This window comes from Homo sapiens, chromosome 17 (assembly GCF_000001405.40).
Source record: "Homo sapiens chromosome 17, GRCh38.p14 Primary Assembly".
Lineage (NCBI taxonomy): Eukaryota > Metazoa > Chordata > Mammalia > Primates > Hominidae > Homo > Homo sapiens.
Window position 1 is genome coordinate 382276 of NC_000017.11, and position 22207 is coordinate 404482.

The 22207-nt window shown below is 51.6% G+C and overlaps 1 annotated feature.

Annotated features, from left to right (window-relative positions):
* Window positions 20491–21690: an enhancer, noted in NCBI's record as "BRD4-independent group 4 enhancer chr17:252557-253756 (GRCh37/hg19 assembly coordinates)". NCBI's record gives its function as "activates an origin of replication core promoter dependent on BRD2, P300/CBP, MED14 and CDK7 cofactors, and independent of BRD4, by STARR-seq in HCT116 cells {active_cell/tissue: HCT116}" and the evidence as "EXISTENCE:reporter gene assay evidence [ECO:0000049][PMID:35650434]".

Here is a 22207-nt window from a genome sequence, read left to right on the forward strand (position 1 = left end):
TGTCTTTCTCAACACCCCTGCAGTACCCTGCTCTGGGCGTCCCCTGCCCGGATATCTGTGAGCAACGTCCTCAAAGAAAAGGAGATCGCAACTGAGGACAAGCAACTCTACCATCTCCAGCTAGAGCTGAGCTCCACCAGCAAGCCCTCCCTTCCACGCCAGATCACTCCTGTCCCTCAGCCTCTCCAGGCATCAGAGATGTGTGGCGGCCGCAGCTACTGTCCTTTCATGCATGAGGCACTGGATGTCACTCAAAATGGGACCTCGACCACAGTGACTTTGCTGGGGTCATTATTAATGGTGTGCCAGCGGCCTGATGACAACCTGCTGGGGCACCCAAAGTACCCAAAAATCACTGCCTGGGAAAAAAATGTTTTTAAATGTTGATGCAAAAGAAGAGTGAACTGGAGTATTTTGTTTTTTTAGATGACAAAGACGGAAGAAATCCCCTCAAAGCATACAGTGCAAGAGGCCCAGGAGCAGGAGATTCCAGCCTTGCAAGACCGGTTGCCATGGTAACCGTGTTTCACAGCAGGAGTTCGTTTTCATATGACAGTGACCTGCACAGAGAAGGGAAGGACGGAAGGACGTCTCCTAAAGAAACTTAGTTGAAGGCTTTCCCATTTGGGGTGAGGGGAGTTAGTTTTGTTTACAAAAAAAGGGCATTTTAAGGTGCCTTAAGAGGCAGAAATGATCCCAGGGCCCTTGCAAGGTTCTCTCTATTCACAACTCTTACTTAAGGCAAGACAGAAAAACACGGCCTGTTTCCAAGGCCTCCTGGGGCTGATGTCATAGCCTCCCTGGATCACTGGTCCCATCATTAACCATCTGTTTGTTACAAAGTCCTTTCCTGGAGTCCAGCAGAGTCCCAAGCAAGCAAGCAACCAACCGAGCCACCAGGAAGTCCTGCACACCTGGGCCAGGGGCTGAGAAGACATGGAAATGTAACACACACTCCCTGGACTGAAAAACACGCCTTCCTGGACAAACGGCAAATCCTAGCATCTAAAAACAGCCTTAGGAGTCAGACAGACTTGAGTTCCAGCCTCCACCTTGGCCACCTATATGCTGTGTGATTTAGGAAGGTCTCTGGCCCTCTCTGTGTCCTTATGAACAGAATGAGGACAATAATCCTAATGCTTACCCCTCTGGATGTTTCTAAGATAAAGGAAAACGAGGGACTACCTGGAATGATTAGCACACTGCCCGGCACGGGACAACCCACTCAACAAACAGCTGCAATGATTAAGAGCTGGAAAAGTATATCTCGCACTCATGATACAGTGGGAGGCTAATAGCAGAGAACAAAATACTAAACCGTGTGGGACAACCTGCAACGGATCCATCAACAAGCCCAGCAGGAACGCAGATGGACTGGACGAACGGAACCGTCCAGGAGGGAGGTGGTGCTTGAACTGAACTCTCAATTGTATTAAGGATGCTGGGGAGGTGTTCTTGGAGGCCTGAGGGTGGGAATGCCTCCATTGAGTGCTTGCAGGGCGCCCAGTCCTGGAGAGCCAGAGAGAAGGGGAACAAGCTTCCCGCTGCCATCAGGGACAGAAGGGGATGTGAGATCAGCCGACAGCTGCAGCTGGTGGCCTGAGGGCATCGTGGAGTGGGAAGGGTCCCCGGTGCAGCCAGGGAGGTGAGCAAAGCCAGGGAAGGGTCCCCGGTGCAGCCAGGGAGGTGAGCAAAGCTTTTCCAAGGAAACTGCACCTGAGCCAAGTCCCAGAGGGTAGGGGCGAGAGGGCCCAACCAGGGGCAGGAGGCAAGAAGCTTCAGGATTGGAAATTAGTTTGAGAGAATGAGGCCACGTGACTGAGGGCCTTCAAATGCAGGCAGGGGAGCTGAGCTTTGCCCAGGAGGACATATGGAGCCTCTGAAGATATCTCGGTGGGGCGGGGGTCGGTGACAGGGTGAAACGAACCATCATTCTAGAAGGGACATGCCGGATGGATTGCCACATGGGGCTGGAGGGGGTTCCCACAGGAGAGAGAACAGCTAAGAGGCCTCTGTACTCTGGACTGAGATGTTCAAGGCCTGTAGGAATCCATCACAAAGGAGAGGGGAGAGGCAGACACATTTTGGAGACCAGTGTAAATGACAGAGAATGAGGGAAACCCACCAGCGGGAAGTGAGTGAGGGCAGCTGCCTGGGAGGAGACCAGTCGGGTGCGCTGAGTTTGCGGTGACACCGTGGCACCCAGAGAGCAAGACAGGGTGGGCTGGAAGTCAGAGGGGGCATTCCCAGAGGACTCCTGGAGCCAGCCCCGTGAGAAGTACAACACAGGGCCTGGGAAAACAGTCCCAGGAAAGAGGGAAAAAGGCTCAGCAAAGGAGAAGGAACCAGGAGAGAGGCATGCCCAGAAGTGACGGCGGGGAGGCTGCAAGCTGGACACCAGCGCGCAGGGGTCCGCTTCCCGGGGAGAGCGACCGAGGCACCACAGAAGAGGCGTGTTTGGAAACAAAACGACTTTTGGGTTTAGAAGTTTCAGCAAAGTGGCCACCAGCAGCCAGGCTGCAGAGGATGGAGGGGGGCGGCTGGCGGGGAGGGGGCGGCTGGAGGGGAGGGGGCAGCAGGTGCCGAGCTCTTGTGGGAAAACGTGACAGAGAAAAGAGGAAACAAGCTGACGGCTCCGATGCCGGGTTTTGTGTTTTTCAGGAGATGGGAGATGGGAGGCCGAGGGGATGTCAGAGACGCGGAGTGGGGGTGGGGCTGGGGGCTGGAGGCGGCCCGGGGCGCGATCTCCCCCGGTGTCGGGCGGGGCGGGGCGGGGACGGGACTGCAGTCCTGGCTCTACCCACGCGCCCACCAGGGTCTGCAGGGGCGTCCCCAGGGCTCCCCCTGCCCTCAGGCTGCCGGGAGGGTCAAAGGTGCGCGCTGCACAGATGTAGGGTGACAGTGACCATTCCCCGGAATCTCCGTGGCTCTGATCTCCCCGGGGACGGGTCTCCACCTGCAGCAAGACGCCTCCCCGCAGGACGACCCCCAAGGTGTTACGGACCCAGGCGACCCTGGGGTCGCTCTGCCCTCTGAGCAGCCGGGCAGGAGGCACAAGCCCCAGCGCCCCCGGCAGAGGCCTCCGTGCGGCGCAGGAAAGGAAAGGCGGCTCCACGGCGGGCCCAGAGCCGTCGTCCCGAGCAGTGAGGCGCCTGGGACGGATGGAAGCGCTTCCCCGACGCCTCCGCCCGACTCCGGGAAGCGGCTTTGGGAGGGCTGGAAGCCAACCCCGCGGGACTCAGGCTGGAAGGGATGGGCGGGGCGAGTGGAGGCGTCGTCGGTCTCGGCTGTGAGAAGGGCCCCCCAAATCCTGCACGCACGACCCCCCTTCCGACCACCCAGCCGCGGGCGAAAGCCCAAGTGTGCAGGGCCCGGGGCCCCCACGGGGGCCCCCAGTCTCGTGGGGCGTCGGGTCCACGCCGCAGGCGAGGCCAGGTGCAGAGGGGCGGCAGCCTGGACCCCCGGGCCCCTCCCCGCACGTGCGCGCCGGGGCGGGCGCTGGGAAACGCCGCGCTGTGGACTCGCTCCCCGGAACTCACCCGGCGCCGCCCTCCCCCACCCCCCGCCGCGTCCCCGCCCCCCCCCACCCGCACCCCGAGCTGGGGGCACCACAGGGTCCCCGAGGGTCCCCGAGGTCGGGGCGGAGCGCAGGCCGTTCGGAGCGGGGGGCTCCGGGCCCGGGCGCTGCTCGGGGGAGTCGGGTGCAGCCCAGGCTCCGGCCGCCGGCGGGAGGAAACCCAGCTCCAGGCCCTGCCCGCGCCCCGCCGGCCCCGGAACCGCCCCCGCCCGGGGCGCCAAGAGCTCCCAGGTCCCCGCCGCCTCCCTGTGCGCCCCGCCGGCCCCGCCGCTGAGCCGCGCGCACCCCCCGCCCTCGGACTGGGCCCCGGACCCGGGGCGGCCCCGCTTCCCCCCCGGACTCACCCGGGGTTCGGCCCCGCAGCCCGCGCGCTCCCTCGCTGCCCTCTGGCGGCAAAACCGTGAAACCGGCGCCCGCCCCGCCCCGCCCCGCTGGGACCTGTGGCCGCAGAGCCCGGGCCGGAGGGCACCTGCTGGGCGGCCTCTGGATGGTGACCTCGCCGCGGGGCGGGTCCCCACGGTCTCGCTGGACGGCAGGGGCGCGGCTCACTGCAGCCTCCGCCTCCTGGGCTCCAGCGACCCTTTCACCCCAGCCTCCCCGGCAGTCGGGACCGCAGGCACCGCTCCCACGCCCGGCCAATTTTTGTATGTTTTGTAGAGACGAGGTCCCACTGTGTTACCCAGGCTGGTCTCGAACTCCAAGCCTCAGTTTCTTTATGTGCAAAACAGAGACAACAATAGTCCTGTTGTGATGACTGAATGAGGTCGTGACCCCAGGTCTCGCTCACTGTAGGCCCCTCAGCTGGAGAGCATTCTTAATGTTAATATTCCCTCCTCACCTCCTAACCCTAAAGCCTCAAGGGTGCAGGAATTCCGCTGGCCTTAGCCCACCCCCCAGCCCCCAGGAGCTGCTCGCACCGCCGCTTGCACAGACGGGGGTAGACCACTCCGTGTCTCTGGGGTGACTCGACCTTCCTTGGGATGGCCAACCGCCTGAGAAAGACGCATAGGTGACCCGAGGCTGCCTCCCTGAAGCCTTCCTCTTGGCTATAGCTGTACCCCTGTGGAGCCCACACGAACCCAATCGCCCAACCTTCTATTCACCATTACAGCTTTCAGTAAACACTCGTTGCACCTCTGCTCTGTGCCAGCTCTTCCTAGACGGGATTCTCACATGTTTCACTTAACCCCTGTTTTCCCAGGTCTTACCACATAAGGTCCGAATGACAGTAACAAAACCATCTTTTTCTGTCTGTGCCCTGAGGATAGCTAACAGGTGAACACAGGTGCAGCCTCCTGGCTAACTCCAGAAACCACTCCCTTCTCTCCTGCCCCAGCGTTTGTCCCCTTGGCCCACAAGGCAGCACACTCAGGACCGTTCCACTCCCCTTCCCCCGACCCAGTGTGAGGCGGCCTCATCCTCTCATGGTGGGTGGGGTGGGGGGGCTCCTGCATGCTCACTGCAGAGTGGGGGCTGATGCCACACAGGTGTTCACACGTGTGCACCCCACCCTAACCAGCCACCGGGCTGCACAGCCCCTCACTCCACACGTGTGCACCCCACCCTAGACCAGCCACCGGGCTGCACAGCCCCTCACTCCACACGTGTGCACCCCACCCTAGACCAGGCACCGGGCTGCACAGCCCCTCACTCCACACGTGTGCACCCCACCCTAGACCAGGCACCGGGCTGCACAGCCCCACACTCCACACGTGTGCACCCCACCCTAACCAGCCACCGGGCTGCACAGCCCCTCACTCCACACGTGTGCACCCCACCCTAACCAGCCACCGGGCTGCACAGCCCCGCACTCCACACGTGTGCACCCCACCCTAACCAGCCACCCAGCTGCACAGCCCCTCACTCCAATGTCATGGGGAGGGGCTGGTGATACAGCCCTTTTACTAACTCCTCTTCCCATAATCTAGGCAAGAGCCTCATTCCCCATCTACTCAATGACATTCAAAGTGGTCTCCTGTCTTTGCTTTTTGCTCCTTGGTCCAAGCAAGCTCATTTCTTCTCTTTCTTCAAATAAATTACTGGGATTACTAATAGAGAGACAGACAGACAGACAGACAGAGACAGAGAGAGAGAGAGATCTTGCTAGCCATAAATCCAACGATTCTCTAAATAAGGCGAACTCTTCATTTACTCATCAACAGATAATTGTTATGCACAGTTGCAGGAGCTGGGGATACAGAGGTGAAGAGAATCCCCTGCCTCCAAGGAGCTTGCTGTCTAGAGAGGGGAGCAGACTTCAAGTGAATAAATGAACACTACTGGGCACTTCCTATTGTCTAGGAATTTCTACTAGGAGCGCTGTCTTAGTCTGTTCTCTGTTTCTATAACATAATGCCACCGACCGAGTAAATTATAAAGAAAAAAAGTATATTCAGTTCATGGTTCTGGAGCCTGGGAAGTCCAAGAGCATGGCACCAGCATGTGGCGAGGGCAGGTCATCTCGGTGGAAGTTAGAAGGCAAAAGCCAGTGTGCGCACAGCGGAGGGAGAGTCGCCAGGGTCAGCTCACTTTAGAACAACGTGCTCTCATGAGACCTAACTCACTTCTGCCAGAACAAAAATTTTTTTTTTTTTGAGACAGAGTCTCGCTCTTTCACCCAGGCTGGAGTGCAGTGGCACGATCTCAGCTCACTGCAAGCTCCGCCTTCCAGGTTCACGCCATTCTCCTGCCTCAGCCTCCCACGTAGCTGGGACTACAGGTGCCCACGACCATGCCCCGCTAATTTTTTGTATTCTTAGTAGAGATGGGATTTCACCATTTACAGGATGGTCTCGATCTCCTGACCTCGTGATCCGCCCGCCTCGGCCTCCCAAAGTGCTGGGATTACAGCCGTGAGCCACCGCACCCAGCCCTGCCAGAACACTATTAACCCATTCAAGAGGGCTCAGCCCTCATGACCTAGTCACCTCGTATCAGGCTCTTATTGAACATGTCCACCCCCTACCACTGTTACACTGGGATTCAGTTGCCAGCACATAAGCCTTTGGGATACATTCAGACATATTCACTGAGGTGGATAAGTGATAAGGACCTTCACTGCTCAACAGGAGCTGCCAGATACCCTTCAAGACTTTCCAAGAGGGAACCAAGCTGGTCCTTTGCCCCTCACTCCCTCCCCACTGATACCAGAGGACCGTATTCCTTGGGAGGGGAGCTACCCAGGCAACAGGTCAACAGGTTATGAGAAGACAAGTTTGTCTTTAACCCCACCTGTGTTTTCCCTTCACCCACACCCCCCCCGACCCCAACCAGAAGATCCTTCCAAGAAATCAAGGCTGCCTGCAGGATGGCCCTCTCCCTCCCCAGAAGCCTGGCTGGCACTCCACAGCTCCAGGAGCAGAGTGTGGGGTCCTGGAGTTCGGGCGCAGTAACCCTGAGCAGGGTTACTCAGCCACAGCACGATTGACTTTTTCAGCCAGGTATTCCTCTGGGGGGTGAGGGGGCTGTCCTGTGTATGGTACAATGTGTAGCAGCATCCCTGGCCTCTACCCCCTAAATCATAGTGGCACACATCCAACCCCCAGCTGTGACAATAAAAAATGTCTTCGGGTGTTGCCAAATGTCCCCCGGGGTCACCCTCCCACCCCCACCCCACCCCTTAACCCAAACCATGTGTCCAGAGCCTGTTACCTATTTCTAGCCTGGAGAATTAGGGGTGAGGAAACTGCTCTGTGCTTGCAGTAGTGCGGCAAAACTGCGTAGAGATGGAGCAGGCCTCCTTCCCACTGTTGACCAGACGGAGCGGGCCCGCCTTCCCACCCTCTGACCAGGCGGAGCGGCCCCGCTTCCCACTCTTGACCAGGCGGAGCGGCCCCCCTTCCCACTCTTGACCAGGCGGAGCAGGCCTCCTTCCCACTGTCTGACCAGGAGAGTTTCCCAAAAGCCAAGTAGAAACTGGAAGAAAGCGGGGGTCAAGCAGCCTTGAAGAAGCCCCGGGGGCAAGGGAACCCGTCACCAGAGGCTGAGATGCGCCTCTGGAGAGGATCAAGAGGCCGGCCTGAGGATGTATTACAAACGGGCTCCCGGGAAATCCTCCGATGCCCAGATCTGGAGAGGATCAAAGCAGAAGGATGACGGAGAAAGAGAAGAGAGCCCTCCTTCCACCTGCCAGCACCTGCACTGCAGGGAAGAGGGGGGGGTGGAATTGGAAAAAAGAATGAAAGTTGGATTTAGGTCGGGCACAGTGGCTCACGCCTGTGATCCCAGCACTTTGGGAAGCCAAAGCAGGAAGCTCAAAGCTCACTTGAGCCCAAGGAATTTGAGACCAGCCTGGGCCACATGGCGAGCGCCGTGTCTCTACTAAAAATAAAAAAATTAGCAGGGTGTGGTGGTGCGTGCCTGTACTCCCAGCTACGGAGGCCGGGCAGGTTGAGGGGCTGAGGTAGGAGGATCGCTTGAACCTGGCGGGTGGAGTTGCAGTGAGCCTTGATTGCGACACTGCACTCCATCCTGGGGGACACAGCAGACCTTGTCTCAGAAAAAAAAAGGAAAGAAACTCGGATTTATAGATCTAGTAGGTTGAATGATGGCCTGAAAAATATATGTCCACATCCTAATTCCCAGAACCTGTGACTGTGACTTTATTTGGTAAAAGGGTCTTTGCAGACATAATTAAATTGAGGCTGTCATGATGAGATCATCCTGGACATTTCGTAGGCCCTAAATCCAGTGACAAGCATCATTATAAGATGTACGTAGAGACTAGAAGGCGGCCCTAGGAAGATGGAGGCAGAGATTGGAGTGATGCAGCCACACGCCCAGGGACACCTGGGGCCCCCAGAAACGGGAGGAAGGAAGGACGGATTCTCCCCTGCAGCCTCCAGAGGGAGGACCACCCTGCTGACACCTTGATTTCAGCCTTCCGGCCGCCGGACTGTGAAATAATACATCCATTTTGTTTTAAGTCAGCCAGTTTGTGGTAATTTACTAGGGCAGCCCCAGGAAACAAATGCAACAGGAGACTAGAATTTGCTCGAGTGGAGACAGTCTTCAGCAAAGTCTACTTTTCATTCTGACACTTTTTTTTGAGACAGAGTCTCGCTCTGTTGCCCAGGCCGAAGTGCAGTGACGCGATCTCGGCTCACTGCAACCTCTGCCTCCCGGGTTCAAGTCATTCTCCTGTCTCAGCCTCCTGAGTAGCTGGGACTACAGGCGCATGACACCACGTCCGGCTAGTTTTTTGTATTTTTAGTAGAGATGGGGTTTCACCATGTTAGCCAGGATGGTCTTGATCTCCTGACCTCGTGATCTGCCCGCCTCGGCCTCCCAAAGTGATGGGATTACAGGCGTGAGCCCCCACACCCGGCTGTTTTGTGTGTTTTAAACTTTACATAAATGGTATCATACTGTATGTTTTGTTTTATTTTGTTTTCTTTTGTTTTTAAGACAGGGTCTCACTCTGTTACCCAGGCTGGAGTGCAGTGGTGTGATCTCAGCTCACTGCAGCCTTGACCTCCTGGGCTCAAGCGATCCTCCCACCTCAGCCTCCTGATTAGCTGAGACTACAAGCACGTACCACTACACCCGGCTGGTCTCAAACTCCTGAGCTCAAGTGACCTGCCTGCCTCGGCCTCACAAACTGTTGGGATTACAGGCGTGAGCCACCATGCCCAGTCATGCTGCATGCTTTTAAAAATTGAGGCAAAATTCATATAACATACAATTAACCATTCTAACATGTATCATTCAGAGCATTCGCAATGTTATCCAACCACCACCTCTCTCTAGTTTCAAAACGTTTTTCAATCACCCCATAAGAATTTTGATGGTTAATTTTGAGTGTAAGTTTGACTGGATAAGGGATGCCCAGGTGGCTAGTTAGGCATTATTTGGGGGTGTGTCTGAGAGGGTGTTTCTGGAAAGGATTTGCGTTTGAATCGTGGACTGAGTGAAGGTCACCCTCACCAATGTGAGTGGGCACATCATCCAGTCAGGTAGGGACACAGCAAAAAGGAGGGGAAGGATGAACTTGCTCTCTGGTCTTGAGCTGGGGCATCCACCCTCTCCTGTCCTCGAACAGTGAAACTCCTGGTTCTCTGGCTTTTGGACTGAATTCTGTCACTGGCTCTCTGGTTCTCCAGCTGGCAGGTGGCAGATTGTGATACTTCTCAGCCCTCGTAATCGTGTAAGCCAATTCCCGTAATAAACCTCCACATACAAGGAAGATAATATAAGAACATTCTTTTTCTCTGAGCACTGTCGACGGGGGTGGGGCAAGAATATTGTATGTCCATGAAATAGTCACTCCCAATGTCGCCCTCCCTGCAACTCCTGCAACCGTTAACCCGCCTTCTGTCTCCATGGATTTGCCCATTTGTATTCTTCCAAAACTTACAGGATTCTGGCTGCACATTCGAGGGATTTGTACGGGTGGTCACGTTAGACCATTGTTTGTTTTTCATTGCCATATAATATTCCATCATGAAACTCAACCACTTTTTTTTTTTTTTTCTTGAGAGAGGGTCTCATTCTGTCACCAGGCTGCAGTGCAGTGGTGCATCCTGGCTCACTGCAGCCTAGAAATCCCAGGCTTAAGTGATCCTCCGGCCTCAGCTTCCTGAGTAGCTGGGACTGTGGGTGCACCACCACACCTGGCTAATTTTTTAAAAAAATTAGGCCAGGCATGGTGGCTCAGGCCTGTAATCCCAGCACTTCGGGAGGCCGAGGTGGGCAGATCATGAGGTCAGGAGTTCGAGACCAACCTGATCAACATGGTGAAACCCGTCTCTACCAAAAATACCAAAATTAGCAACATGATGGCACGCACCTGTAATCCCTGCTACTGAGGAGGCTGAGGCAGGAGAATCACTTGAACCCAGGAGGAGGAGGTCACAGTGAGCTGGGCAACAGAATGAGACTCTCTCTCAAAGAAAAAAAAAAAAAATTTGGAGAGATAGGGTCTTCCTATGTTGCCCAGGCTGGTCTTGAACTCTTGGCCTTGAGTGATCCTCCTGCCTCAGCCTCCCAAAGTGCTGGGATTACAAGTGTAAGCCACCACACCAGAACTCAACCCCATTTTTTTTAGACAGGTTCTCGCTCTGTCACCCAGGCTGGAGTACAACGGCACAACCTTGGCTCACTGCAACCTCCGCCTCCTGGGTTCAAGCAATTCTCATGCCTCAACCTCCCAAGAAGCTGTGACTACAGGCGGGAGCCACCATACCAGTCTAATTTTTGTATTTTTAGTAGAGACAGCATATCACTATGTTGGCCAGGCTGGTCTCAAACTCCCGACCTCAGATGATCCGCCCGCCTCAGCCTCTCAAGGTGCTGGGATTACAGGCATGAGCTGCCATGTCCAGCTCTCAACCACTTTTTAAATTTTTTCCTTCTGTTGATGAATTTGTGCAACTTAAAAAAAATTTTCAGGCCAGGCATAGTGGCTTACACCTATAATCCCAGCACTTTGGGAGGCCGAGGCAGGTGGATCACCTGAGGTCAGGAGTTTGAGAGCAGCCTGGCCAATATGGTGAAACCCCGTCTCTACTAAAGATGGAAAAATTAGTCAGGCATGATGTCGCACATCTGTAATCCCAGCTACTCGGGAGGCTGAGCCAGGAGAATTGTTTGAACCCAGGAGGCAGAGGTTGCAGTGAGCCGAGATCGCACCACTGCACTCCAGCCTGGGCGACACAGCAAGATTCTGTCTCAAAAAAAGAAAAAATATTCAAAATGAGTATTATATCCATGTGGCAACAAAATGAAGGATCACAAAAGAAGATAGAGTGAAAACGAAGTGTCTTTTCCTCTCCTTCCAAAGAGACAGTCATTTTACCCATTTCTTATGTATCCTTTTAGCAGTATTCCAGGCACATACATATATGCATAGATGGCACCTTTTTTACACACGTGTTTATGTGGTAAGTATTGATTGAAAGCCTGCTGTATGCCAGACACTACTTTAGGTGATGGGGGTACAGCCGGGAACAAAACAAAGTTTCCAGCTTTCCTGTTTCTAATAGAAAGAGAAAGTGCTACACAGATAAACAGATGTACATGTCAAGCTGCACTCGTGCTGTGGAGGGGAGTAAGCACAGCAAAGGGACACAGGGGAAAGGTCAGGAAAGGCTTCTCTGATAAGGTAACACGTGAACAAAGCAAGGACAGCCAGGGCAAGAGTGTTCCAGGTGCCGGAGAAACAGCAAGGAGGTCCTGGGGTTGGGGTGGAGCACGGGGGCAGCAGATGTTAGCAAACCGCACACACCGCGCCTCGCTCCCTCTCCATGAACAGTCTTGGCCTTTGTTCCACATCAGCCTAAAATGAGCTGCCTCGTTCTTTTTTAGAGGCAGCCAAGTAGTCCACCATATGGAGGTAGTACAATTTGCTTAACTAGTTGTAGAGTTTTTCTTTTCCTTTTTTTTTTTAAGGTATGAAGTGAAAATCAGGAAGCGGTTGGAGTGAGTTCTCAAAGGAGGAAGAGGGAAGCACAGACCTGCTCTTCACAGTTGCAAAGCCTGGGGCAAGAGCAGGCACAGCGGCCCACGCACCTTATGTCTAAATATTAAAAGTTATGACAAACTGTTAAGTGAAATATGCACTGTTCTCCTACCTTGACGAATATACTTTCGTAACAACCTGGAAGGTCAGATTTAAATTTCGAATTTCAGATTCTTCAGGGTTCTGCAGCCTGCCCCAGGCCTGCACCTCCTCTTCCTACTTCCAGCTCCAGCACTGAGAAGGTCCCGTGAGCACTTGGGTGTGGACGCCTGAGCCTGCCCTGTGCAGTTTCCATCCATGCTGCCCTTGGGCCTAAGGGTGCTCCGGAGGAAAGACCCAGGAAAGAGGCCCACATAGGCCCTACAAGCAGGCTGAGGCTATTTGGGCAAGAAACTCCGAGGTCCCAGGTACTCGGATTGTGGGCTAGAAGGAAGGAGGGGGGATAGGCTCTACGTGGGTGAGACCCCTCGATTCCACGTGATTCCCATCTCTCAGGGAGAGATACAGCTGGAGTGGAGACAGCAGGATCCGATGGAGCACGGGACAGAGGGAAGGGACTCCTCTTGCCCACATCGAAGGCTGGTGCTGCAGAAGTGTGGACACTGCTTGTCTGCCTTGGGGAAGACACTCACAGTGTGGGCAGGACAGAGTGGAAAGCTGGAATCAGCAGCCGGGCCAGCTGGAGGGACCCAGGCTGAGCACACAGCAGGAAAGCCATGAACCGTAAGCCCTGCCCAGGGCTTGCCCACATCAGTGCCAACCAAAGGGGAAAACCTGGTCCTTCTTGGGAAAGAAACTTCCACTCTGGAGAATGTTCGAAGAGCTCATAACAATAATAGTCTCTGAAACCACAAAGACAAAGTATAAACAAGGAAGCCGACACCAACAGTGAAGATGCCACCATCTCGCTGGTTGGTCAACAAATATCATTGTAAAGTCTACCACTCTCTTGCAGGATTCGTGGAACTGGGAACATGCGTTCTGGCCACATTTGGTGACTGACTAGCATTGTGAGGTTGAGCAATTCACTTACATCATTGTAAAGTCTACCGCTCTCTTGCAGGATATGTGGAACTAGGAACATGGGTTCCAACCCATTTGGTGACTGACTAGCATTGTGAGGTTGAGCGATTCACTTACATCTCTGTGTATCAGTTTCCTCATCTATCCAACAGGAGTATACTTGCCCAATCTCTTTCAGAGTTACGAGAATCGGTTCCATTCCCCTTGCTTTGCTCATTTAGCCACTCACAAAACGTCAGCTCTGTGCCAAGAGCTGGGCAGGTCTGCAAGAGCAGAAATAAAGACATCGTACTTTCTCATACTTTCTGACCTCAAGGAACTTGGTCCGACTGAGGAGACAAACAGCTGTGCTCCAAGAGCTGCCCATTCCTTGTGCTGTTGCAGGCTTAGAAGCATTTTCCAGATAAATAAATCGAAGTTAAGATAGAATGAGGCCGGGCACAGTGGCTCTCGCCTGTAATCCCAGCACTTTTGGGAAGCCAAGGCAGGCAGATCACTTGAGGCCAGGAGTTCAAGACCAGCCTGGCCAACATGGTGAAATCCTGTCTCTACTGAAAATACAAAAATTAGCTGGGCGTGGTGGCGCACGCCTGTAGTCCCAGCTACTCAGGAGGCTGAAGCAGGAGAATCGCTTGAACCTGGGAGGAAGAGGTTACAGTGAGCCAAGACTGCGCCACTGCACTCCAGCCTGGGCAACAGAGTGAGACTCTGCCTCAAAAAAAAAAGAAAACAAAAATGTTAAGATAGAGAGTTGTTCTTTTAAAGTAAAGGGGGAAGCATTTTATTTCTGTGCTAAATTATGGTTTTCAAAAAGGTCAAATCATGCCTTTGATGTAAAATTTTATTCAACACTTTGACGAAGAAACCAATAAGATGTTAAAACTGGTTCAAATAATTTGAAGGAAAGAAATGTATATATTATACACAAACATATATAGTATCTATAAACATATATATACCATATAAACATCTATTGTATATATAAACATATTATTTTTATACATTTTATATAGGTATATAATATGTATTATGTGTGTCTTTATATATAAACATAAACAGGCCAGGCGCGGTGGCTCAAGCCTGTAATCCCAGCACTTTGGGAGGCCGAGACGGGAGGATCACGAGGTCAGGAGATCGAGACCATCCTGGCTAACATGATGAAACCCCGTGTCCACTAAAAATACAAAAAAAAATTAGCTGGGCGTGGTGGTGGGCACCTGTAGTCCCAGCTACTCGGGAGGCTGAGGCAGGAGAATGGCGTGAACCCGGGAGGCGGAGCTTGCAGTGAGCCGAGATCGCGCCACTGCACTCCAGCCTGGGCAAAAGAGCGAGACTCCGTCTCAAAAAAAAAAAAAAAAAAAAACATAAACATACACCCACCCACACAAACACAGTTGACCTTTGACCAACATGGAGGTTAGGGCTGCCAATCCCCGTGCCATCAAAAATCCGTGTGTAACTTCTGACTCCCCCAAAACATAAGTAACAATAGCCTACTATTAACCAGAAGCCTTACCAATGGCATAAACAGTCGATGAACATGTTTTTTGTATATGTATCATATACAGTAAAGTAAATAAAATGTTATTAAGAAAATCAGAGAGAAAACACATTGACAGTGCTGTACTGACACTGATTACTGTAAGTTTATATCATCTGTCTACAAGATGAATGGTCTGTCTGAAACGGCAGGCCGCCGCAGCTGCAGACCTCAATCTATGGTACATATCAGGCAATCCAGCTTTTTCTTGTAATGTCAGGACTTTCCTTTGCTTTTTGGGAGCACTTCCAGCATCATCCGTAGCAGTTCATCTGGGTCCTACGGTGTTGCTATAAGGCTTAGGGCATTGCACTAAACACAGTGAAAGACGCTGGAGAACTCCAATCGATCACTTTTTCCTGCTGTTCACAACTTACTGGAGAGGTAAGCTGCTCATGTGGAGATAATTAGCGGGTTTGTTCATGTTTGTTTTTGTTTTTGTTTTGAGACAGAGTCTTGCTCCATCGCCCAGGCTGGAGTGCAGTGGCACAGTCATGGCTCGCTGCAGCCTCCAACTCCTGGGCTCAACTGATCCTCTCCTTCAGCCTCCTGAGTAGCTGGGACTACAGGCAGGCGCCACCATGCCTGGGTAATTTTTTAATTTTTCTTTTGTAGAAAAAATTTCTGGTTTCAAACTCCCAACCTCAAGTGATCCTCCTTCCTCGGGCTCCTAAAGCACTGGGATTATAGGCATGAGCCACCGCCTAGATAATTTACTTTGTCACATGACATTTTAAGGGGATATTTGCAACACTTGGGCTGATTAAAATAACAACAGGAGATGGCTACAAAATTATCACAGTAGGGCAGTATGTGTTACAGTGAAATTTATACAGTTACAATTTAACACTGCATCTTTAAATTATCACAGTAGTGCAATATTACGGTGAACTTTACACAGTTACAATTTAACACTGCGTCTTTAAATTATCACGGTAATGCGGTATGTGTTACAGTGAACTTTATACAGTTACGATTTAACACTGCATCTTTAAATTATCACAGCAATGCGGTATGTGTTACAGTGAACTTTATACAGTTACGATTTAACACTGCGTCTTTTAATTATCACGGTAATGCGGTATGTGTTACAGTGAACTTTATACAGATACGATTTAACACTGCATCTTTAAATTATCACGGTAATGCGGTATGTGTTACAGTGAACTTTATACAGTTACGATTTAACACTGCATCTTTAAATTATCACGGTAATGCGGTATGTGTTACAATTAACTTTATACAGTTACGATTTAACACTGCATCTTTAAGTTATCACAGTAATGTGGTATGTGTTACAGTGAAGTTTATACAGTTATGATTTAACACTGCATCTTTAAATTACCACAGTAATGCGGTATGTGTTACAATTAACTTTATACAGTTACGATTTAACACTGCATCTTTAAATTATCACAGTAATGTGGTATGTGTTACAGTGAAGTTTATACAGTTATGATTTAACACTGCATCTTTAAATTATCACAGTAATGTGGTATGTGTTACAGTGAAGTTTATACAGTTACGATTTAACACTGCATCTTTAAATTATCACAGTAATGCGGTATGTGTTACAGTTAACTTTATACAGTTACGATTTAACACTGCGTCTTTAAATTATCACGGTAATGCGGTATGTGTTACAATTAACTTTACACAGTTACGATTTAACACTGCATCTTTAAGTTATCACGGTAATGCGGTATGTGTTACAATTAACTTTATACAGTTATGATTTAACACTGCATCTTTAAATTATCACAGTAGTGCAGCACGTGTTACAGTTATCTTTTTTTTTTTGTTTTTGAGATGGAGTTTTGTTCTTGTTGCCCAGGCTGGAGTGCAATGGCGCAACCTCAGCTCACTGCAACCTCTGCCTCCCAGGTTCAAGCAATTCTCCTGCCTCAGCCTTCCGAGTAGCTGGGATTACAGGTGCCTGCCAACATGCCCAGCCAATTTTTTTTGTATTTTTAGTAGAGAGCAGGTTTCACCAAATTGGCCAGGCTGGTCTGGAACTCCTGACCTCAGGTGATCCACCTGCCTTGGCCCCCCAAAGTGCTGGGATTACAAGCATGAGCCACCACGCCCGGCTACAGTGAACTTTATACAGTTACAATTTAACACTGCATCTTTAAATTATCACAGTAGTCCAAGATGTGTTGCAGTGAACTTTATACAGTTATATTTAATACTGCATCTTTAAATTTGTTTATGTTTCTCTTGACTGCAGGCATGGTCTGTAAATGTGTGGGTAAGTTTTGATACATTTTAACTTTTTAAAGTAGATGTATGTATATTTTATGGTGGTAAATGATTTTAAAAAACTAGTATTGGGCTAGGTGCAGTGGTTCATGCCTATAATCCTAGTGCTTTGGGAGGCCAAGGCAGGAGGATTGCTTCAGGCCTGGTGTTCAAGACCAGCCTGAGAAACATAGCAAGACTCTGTCTCTTGTAGAGAAAATTTTCTAGAATTTTCCTTGATAGGAACTATTCTTGACAGCTCCTGGTGCCCATGTCGTGGGGGCACCGTTCATTCTTTTGCTGATATTTGACATCCCACATATGACTATATCGCTGAGTTCTTTCCCTTTGTTTTTTCTTTTTTTGAGATGGAGTCTCAACATAGTGAGACCCTGTCTCTACAAAAATAAAATAAAATAAAAGATGTAAAAATTAGCCAGGTGTGGTGGCCTGCAACTGTAGTCCCAGCTACCTGGGAGGCTGAAGCAGGAGGACAGCTTGACCTTAGGAGTTGGAGGCTGCAGTGAGTGATTGTTTCATTGCACTCTAGCCTGGGCAACAGAGCAAGACCCTATCTCTTAAAATAATACACTAGTGCTACATATATTTTATGCGTTCATGACCTACCTTTTTCTTCCTTTTTTCAATATTTCCAGGCTAAGCAGTTCATCTTCTAGTTTTTTCAAATTGTTACAAATCTCCAAAAAATTTTCCAATATATGTATTGAAAAAAATCCACATGTAAGTGAACCCACACAGTTCAAACCCATGTTGTTCAAGGCCAAATATATTAGAGAAATGCTGAAATGAAGTTGCTAATAAATGCAAAGTGGTTAACACCCATAATATCCTACAGTACAATAAAATGTAATGTTTTGAGATTATCTTTTCTCCAGGATAGAATTGTATCTTTGCCAGACAAAATTGTATCTTTGCCAGACAAAATTCATTTGTATTCTTGTAGGTAAGAATCACTTGCATTACTGTAAGTTTTTTTACAGCTTAGCTTTTATCCCTATGGAGTTGTAAAATAGCCTAGTTATTAGAAAGGTAAGTCAAGGTGCACCCCATAGAATCATAATCCCCAAGAGTTAGGAGGGCAACACCTGGCATTCCACAGAAAGGACACCCAGCATTCTCTTTTGCCCATTTCCAAATCTTGAACGACATTGCCCCTGATTGTATTGGTAACCTTCTTTTTTTTTTTTTTTTTTTTTTTTTTTGAGACAGGGTCTCACTCTGTCACCCAGGCTGGAGTACAGTGGTGCAATCATTGCACTCCACTACTTGGGAGGCTGAGGCAGGAGAATCACTTGAACCCGGGAGGCGGAGGCTGCAGTGAGCCGACATGGCGCCACTCCACTCCAGCCTGGGCCTCAACGAAAAAAAGATCCAGGTTTTTTTCTTTCTTTATCTTTTCCTTAAACAAGCATGAACCCGCTATCCAAACCAAGAAGTCAAACATAACCAACCGTCTCATCGTCCTGTGCACCCCTCCCTTCCCCGACTCCCCAACCCCCACCAAGAGGTCACCACTGTCCCTGCCCTACAGTTTACACTTTTTGTTGCACTGTAAAATATCGTTGTATCATAAATACATTTGTGTTAAACAGACGTCCTTTTTTTTTCTTTTTTAGAGATGGAGTCTCGCACTGTCACCCAGCCTGGAGTGCAGTGGCACAGTCTCCGCTCACTGCAACCTCCCCCTCCTGGGTTCAAGCAATTCTCCTGCCTCAGCCTCCCGAGCAGCTGATTATAGGCATACGCTGCCATGCCCGGCTAAGTTTTTGTATTTTAGTAGAAATGGGGTTTCACCATGTTGCCCAGGCTGGCCTCGAACTCCTGAGCTCAGGCAATCCATCTGCCTCGACCTCCCAAAGTGCTAGGATTACAGGCGTGAGCCACCGTGCCTGGCCCCTTTTTTTAATTTAATATTGTTTCCAAGGTTCATCCGTGTTGTGGGGGCATAGATCATCCTTTTGCTGATGTATAATATTCCATGTGTGACTATATCACTGAGTGGTTCCAGCTTTTTGCTACTATGAGCTATGCTGATATGAACATTTTTGATGGCTCCTGGTGCCCATATGCAAGAATTTCACTTGGATGTGTCTTTTTTTTTCTTTCTTAAACATTCAGTTGGTGCCAAGCTTGGGTATATCTTAAGGACTGGGGTTCTCAGAGATCCTGCCGTCCTCAGGACACTGGCTCTGCCTTCCAATTAGCTCCTGTCACTGTAGCGAGATGTTTGCCACAGACCCAGGCAACACATCCATGGCCGACCGTGCCCAGCAGCAGAAGAGGAGCGTGTCTCCTCCTCCCTTTGATGAAGGAGCAAACCTTTCCCTGGAGCCTCAGGTAGATGATCTTGAACTCTAATTGGCCAGGAGTGGGTAACAGGTTATTTCTCAAACATATTACTGACAAAGAGAATGGGATGACCATAATGACTCCAGCCAATCAGGATTCTCTTGTGAAGATACGGGGCGGCTGTAGGTGGGCACAGGGACCAGAACAAGATCAGAGCTCTGCAGGAAGGGGGCAAAGGTTGGGTGGGCAATTGCAGCTGACAATGTCTTCTCCACCTCCATCCCCCGCCATTCCCCTCTACCTGCAGAAAGCTTCTTCCAGACACCTGTGACTCTGCCTGAGGCTTTTCTCCACTTGCATTTTTGGCCCACGCAGAAGAAGCCAGAAGTGCTACAGAGTTAGTGCCTCTAGAAGCCACGTTTTCTGAGAGGTGGTGGATAATACCCAGCTTCTGAGAGGTGGTGGATAATACCCAGCTTCTGAGAGGTGATACCCAGCTTCTGAGGGGCGGTGGGTGACACCCAGCTTCTGAGAGGCGGTGGGTGACACCCCGCTTCTGAGAGGTGGTGGGTGACACCCCGCTTCTGAGAGGTGGTGGGTGATACCCAGCTTCTGAGAGGTGGTGGTCAGCTTCTGAGAGGTGGTGGGTGATACCCAGCTTCTGAGAGGTGGTGGGTGATACCCAGCTGCTGAGAGGTGGTGGTCAGCTTCTGAGAGGTGGTGGGTGACACCCAGCTTCTGAGAAGCTTCGTTGCCCCTCACTTGGGATCACTGGCATGTTTTGGCACCGCCTCCCAGAGTCCTCCCAGAGGACTGAGCTGTGGTTGAGCACAGAGGTAGCTGGCAGGATAATGAAAACTTTATTAACTGTCCTGCCTTCCCTGTCTCACTTGCCCACTCCTCCACCCGTGTTTCCTAAGACCCTCTCGCAGATAAACTCTGCACTCAATTCCTAGTCTTAGAGTTTGCATTTGGGGGAACTCAAACAAACACAACAACCAACACAGCAGCCAACAGTCCCTGTGCCAGGGATGTGTGAGCAAGATGGGAGACTGGGTTGGATGCTGGATAGATGGGCTGTTGGCTAAGGATAGAAAATTAGAAGTCATCAGCATGTAGGACATGATTGCAGCTGTGAATGTAGATGAGAATACCTTAATATACAGACAGAGCTTCAAGAACAGAGTCCTTAGGCCAAGCTCGGAAAACACCAACATTCAGAGGCTTCTCGACATTCCCTTTAGAAGGGAAGGTTTATGTGCAAAGGAGGCGGAATGGCCTAGAATCACGAGGATGGTGTCCCAAAAGCCGGGCAGATACAACATTTCAAGAAGGAAAGAGTGGTCAGGAGTGTCAAATGTTGCTGGCAGGTCAGGGACAACAAGGACAAAGGTTGTCCACTGGATTCGATGACTCGGAAGGACACTGGTGACGCTCGATGGCTCGGAAGGACACTGGTGACGCTCGATGACTCGGAAGGACACTGGTGACGCTCGATGGCTCGGAAGGACACTGGTGACGCTCGATGGCTCGGAAGGACACTGGTGACGCTCGATGGCTCGGAAGGACACTGGTGACGCTCGATGGCTCGGAAGGACAGTGGTGACGCTCGATGGCTCGGAAGGACACTGGTGACGCTCGATGGCTCGGAAGGACACTGGTGACGCTCGATGGCTCGGAAGGACAGTGGTGACGCTCGATGGCTCGGAAGGACAGTGGTGACGCTCGATGGCTCGGAAGGACAGTGGTGACGCTCGATGGCTCGGAAGGACAGTGGTGACGCTCGATGGCTCGGAAGGACACTGGTGACGCTCGATGGCTCGGAAGGACACTGGTGACGCTCGATGGCTCGGAAGGACACTGGTGACGCTCGATGGCTCGGAAGGACAGTGGTGACGCTCGATGGCTCGGAAGGACAGTGGTGACGCTCGATGGCTCGGAAGGACAGTGGTGACGCTCGATGGCTCGGAAGGACACTGGTGACGCTCGATGGCTCGGAAGGACAGTGGTGACGCTCGATGGCTCGGAAGGACAGTGGTGACGCTCGATGGCTCGGAAGGACAGTGGTGACGCTCGATGGCTCGGAAGGACACTGGTGACGCTCGATGGCTCGGAAGGACAGTGGTGACGCTCGATGGCTCGGAAGGACAGTGGTGACGCTCGATGGCTCGGAAGGACAGTGGTGACGCTCGATGGCTCGGAAGGACACTGGTGACGCTCGATGGCTCGGAAGGACAGTGGTGACGCTCGATGGCTCGGAAGGACAGTGGTGACGCTCGATGGCTCGGAAGGACAGTGGTGACGCTCGATGGCTCGGAAGGACACTGGTGACGCTCGATGGCTCGGAAGGACAGTGGTGACGCTCGATGGCTCGGAAGGACAGTGGTGACGCTCGATGGCTCGGAAGGACAGTGGTGACGCTCGATGGCTCGGAAGGACAGTGGTGACGCTCGATGGCTCGGAAGGACAGTGGTGACGCTCGATGGCTCGGAAGGACAGTGGTGACGCTCGATGGCTCGGAAGGACAGTGGTGACGCTCGATGGCTCGGAAGGACACTGGTGACGCTCGATGGCTCGGAAGGACAGTGGTGACGCTCGATGGCTCGGAAGGACAGTGGTGACGCTCGATGGCTCGGAAGGACAGTGGTGACGCTCGATGGCTCGGAAGGACACTGGTGACGCTCGATGGCTCGGAAGGACACTGGTGACGCTCGATGGCTCGGAAGGACACTGGTGACGCTCGATGGCTCGGAAGGACAGTGGTGACGCTCGATGGCTCGGAAGGACAGTGGTGACGCTCGATGGCTCGGAAGGACACTGGTGACGCTCGATGGCTCGGAAGGACAGTGGTGACGCTCGATGGCTCGGAAGGACAGTGGTGACGCTCGATGGCTCGGAAGGACAGTGGTGACGCTCGATGGCTCGGAAGGACAGTGGTGACGCTCGATGACTCGGAAGGACACTGGTGACGCTCGATGGCTCGGAAGGACACTGGTGACGCTCGATGGCTCGGAAGGACAGTGGTGACGCTCGATGACTTGGAAGGACAGTGGTGACG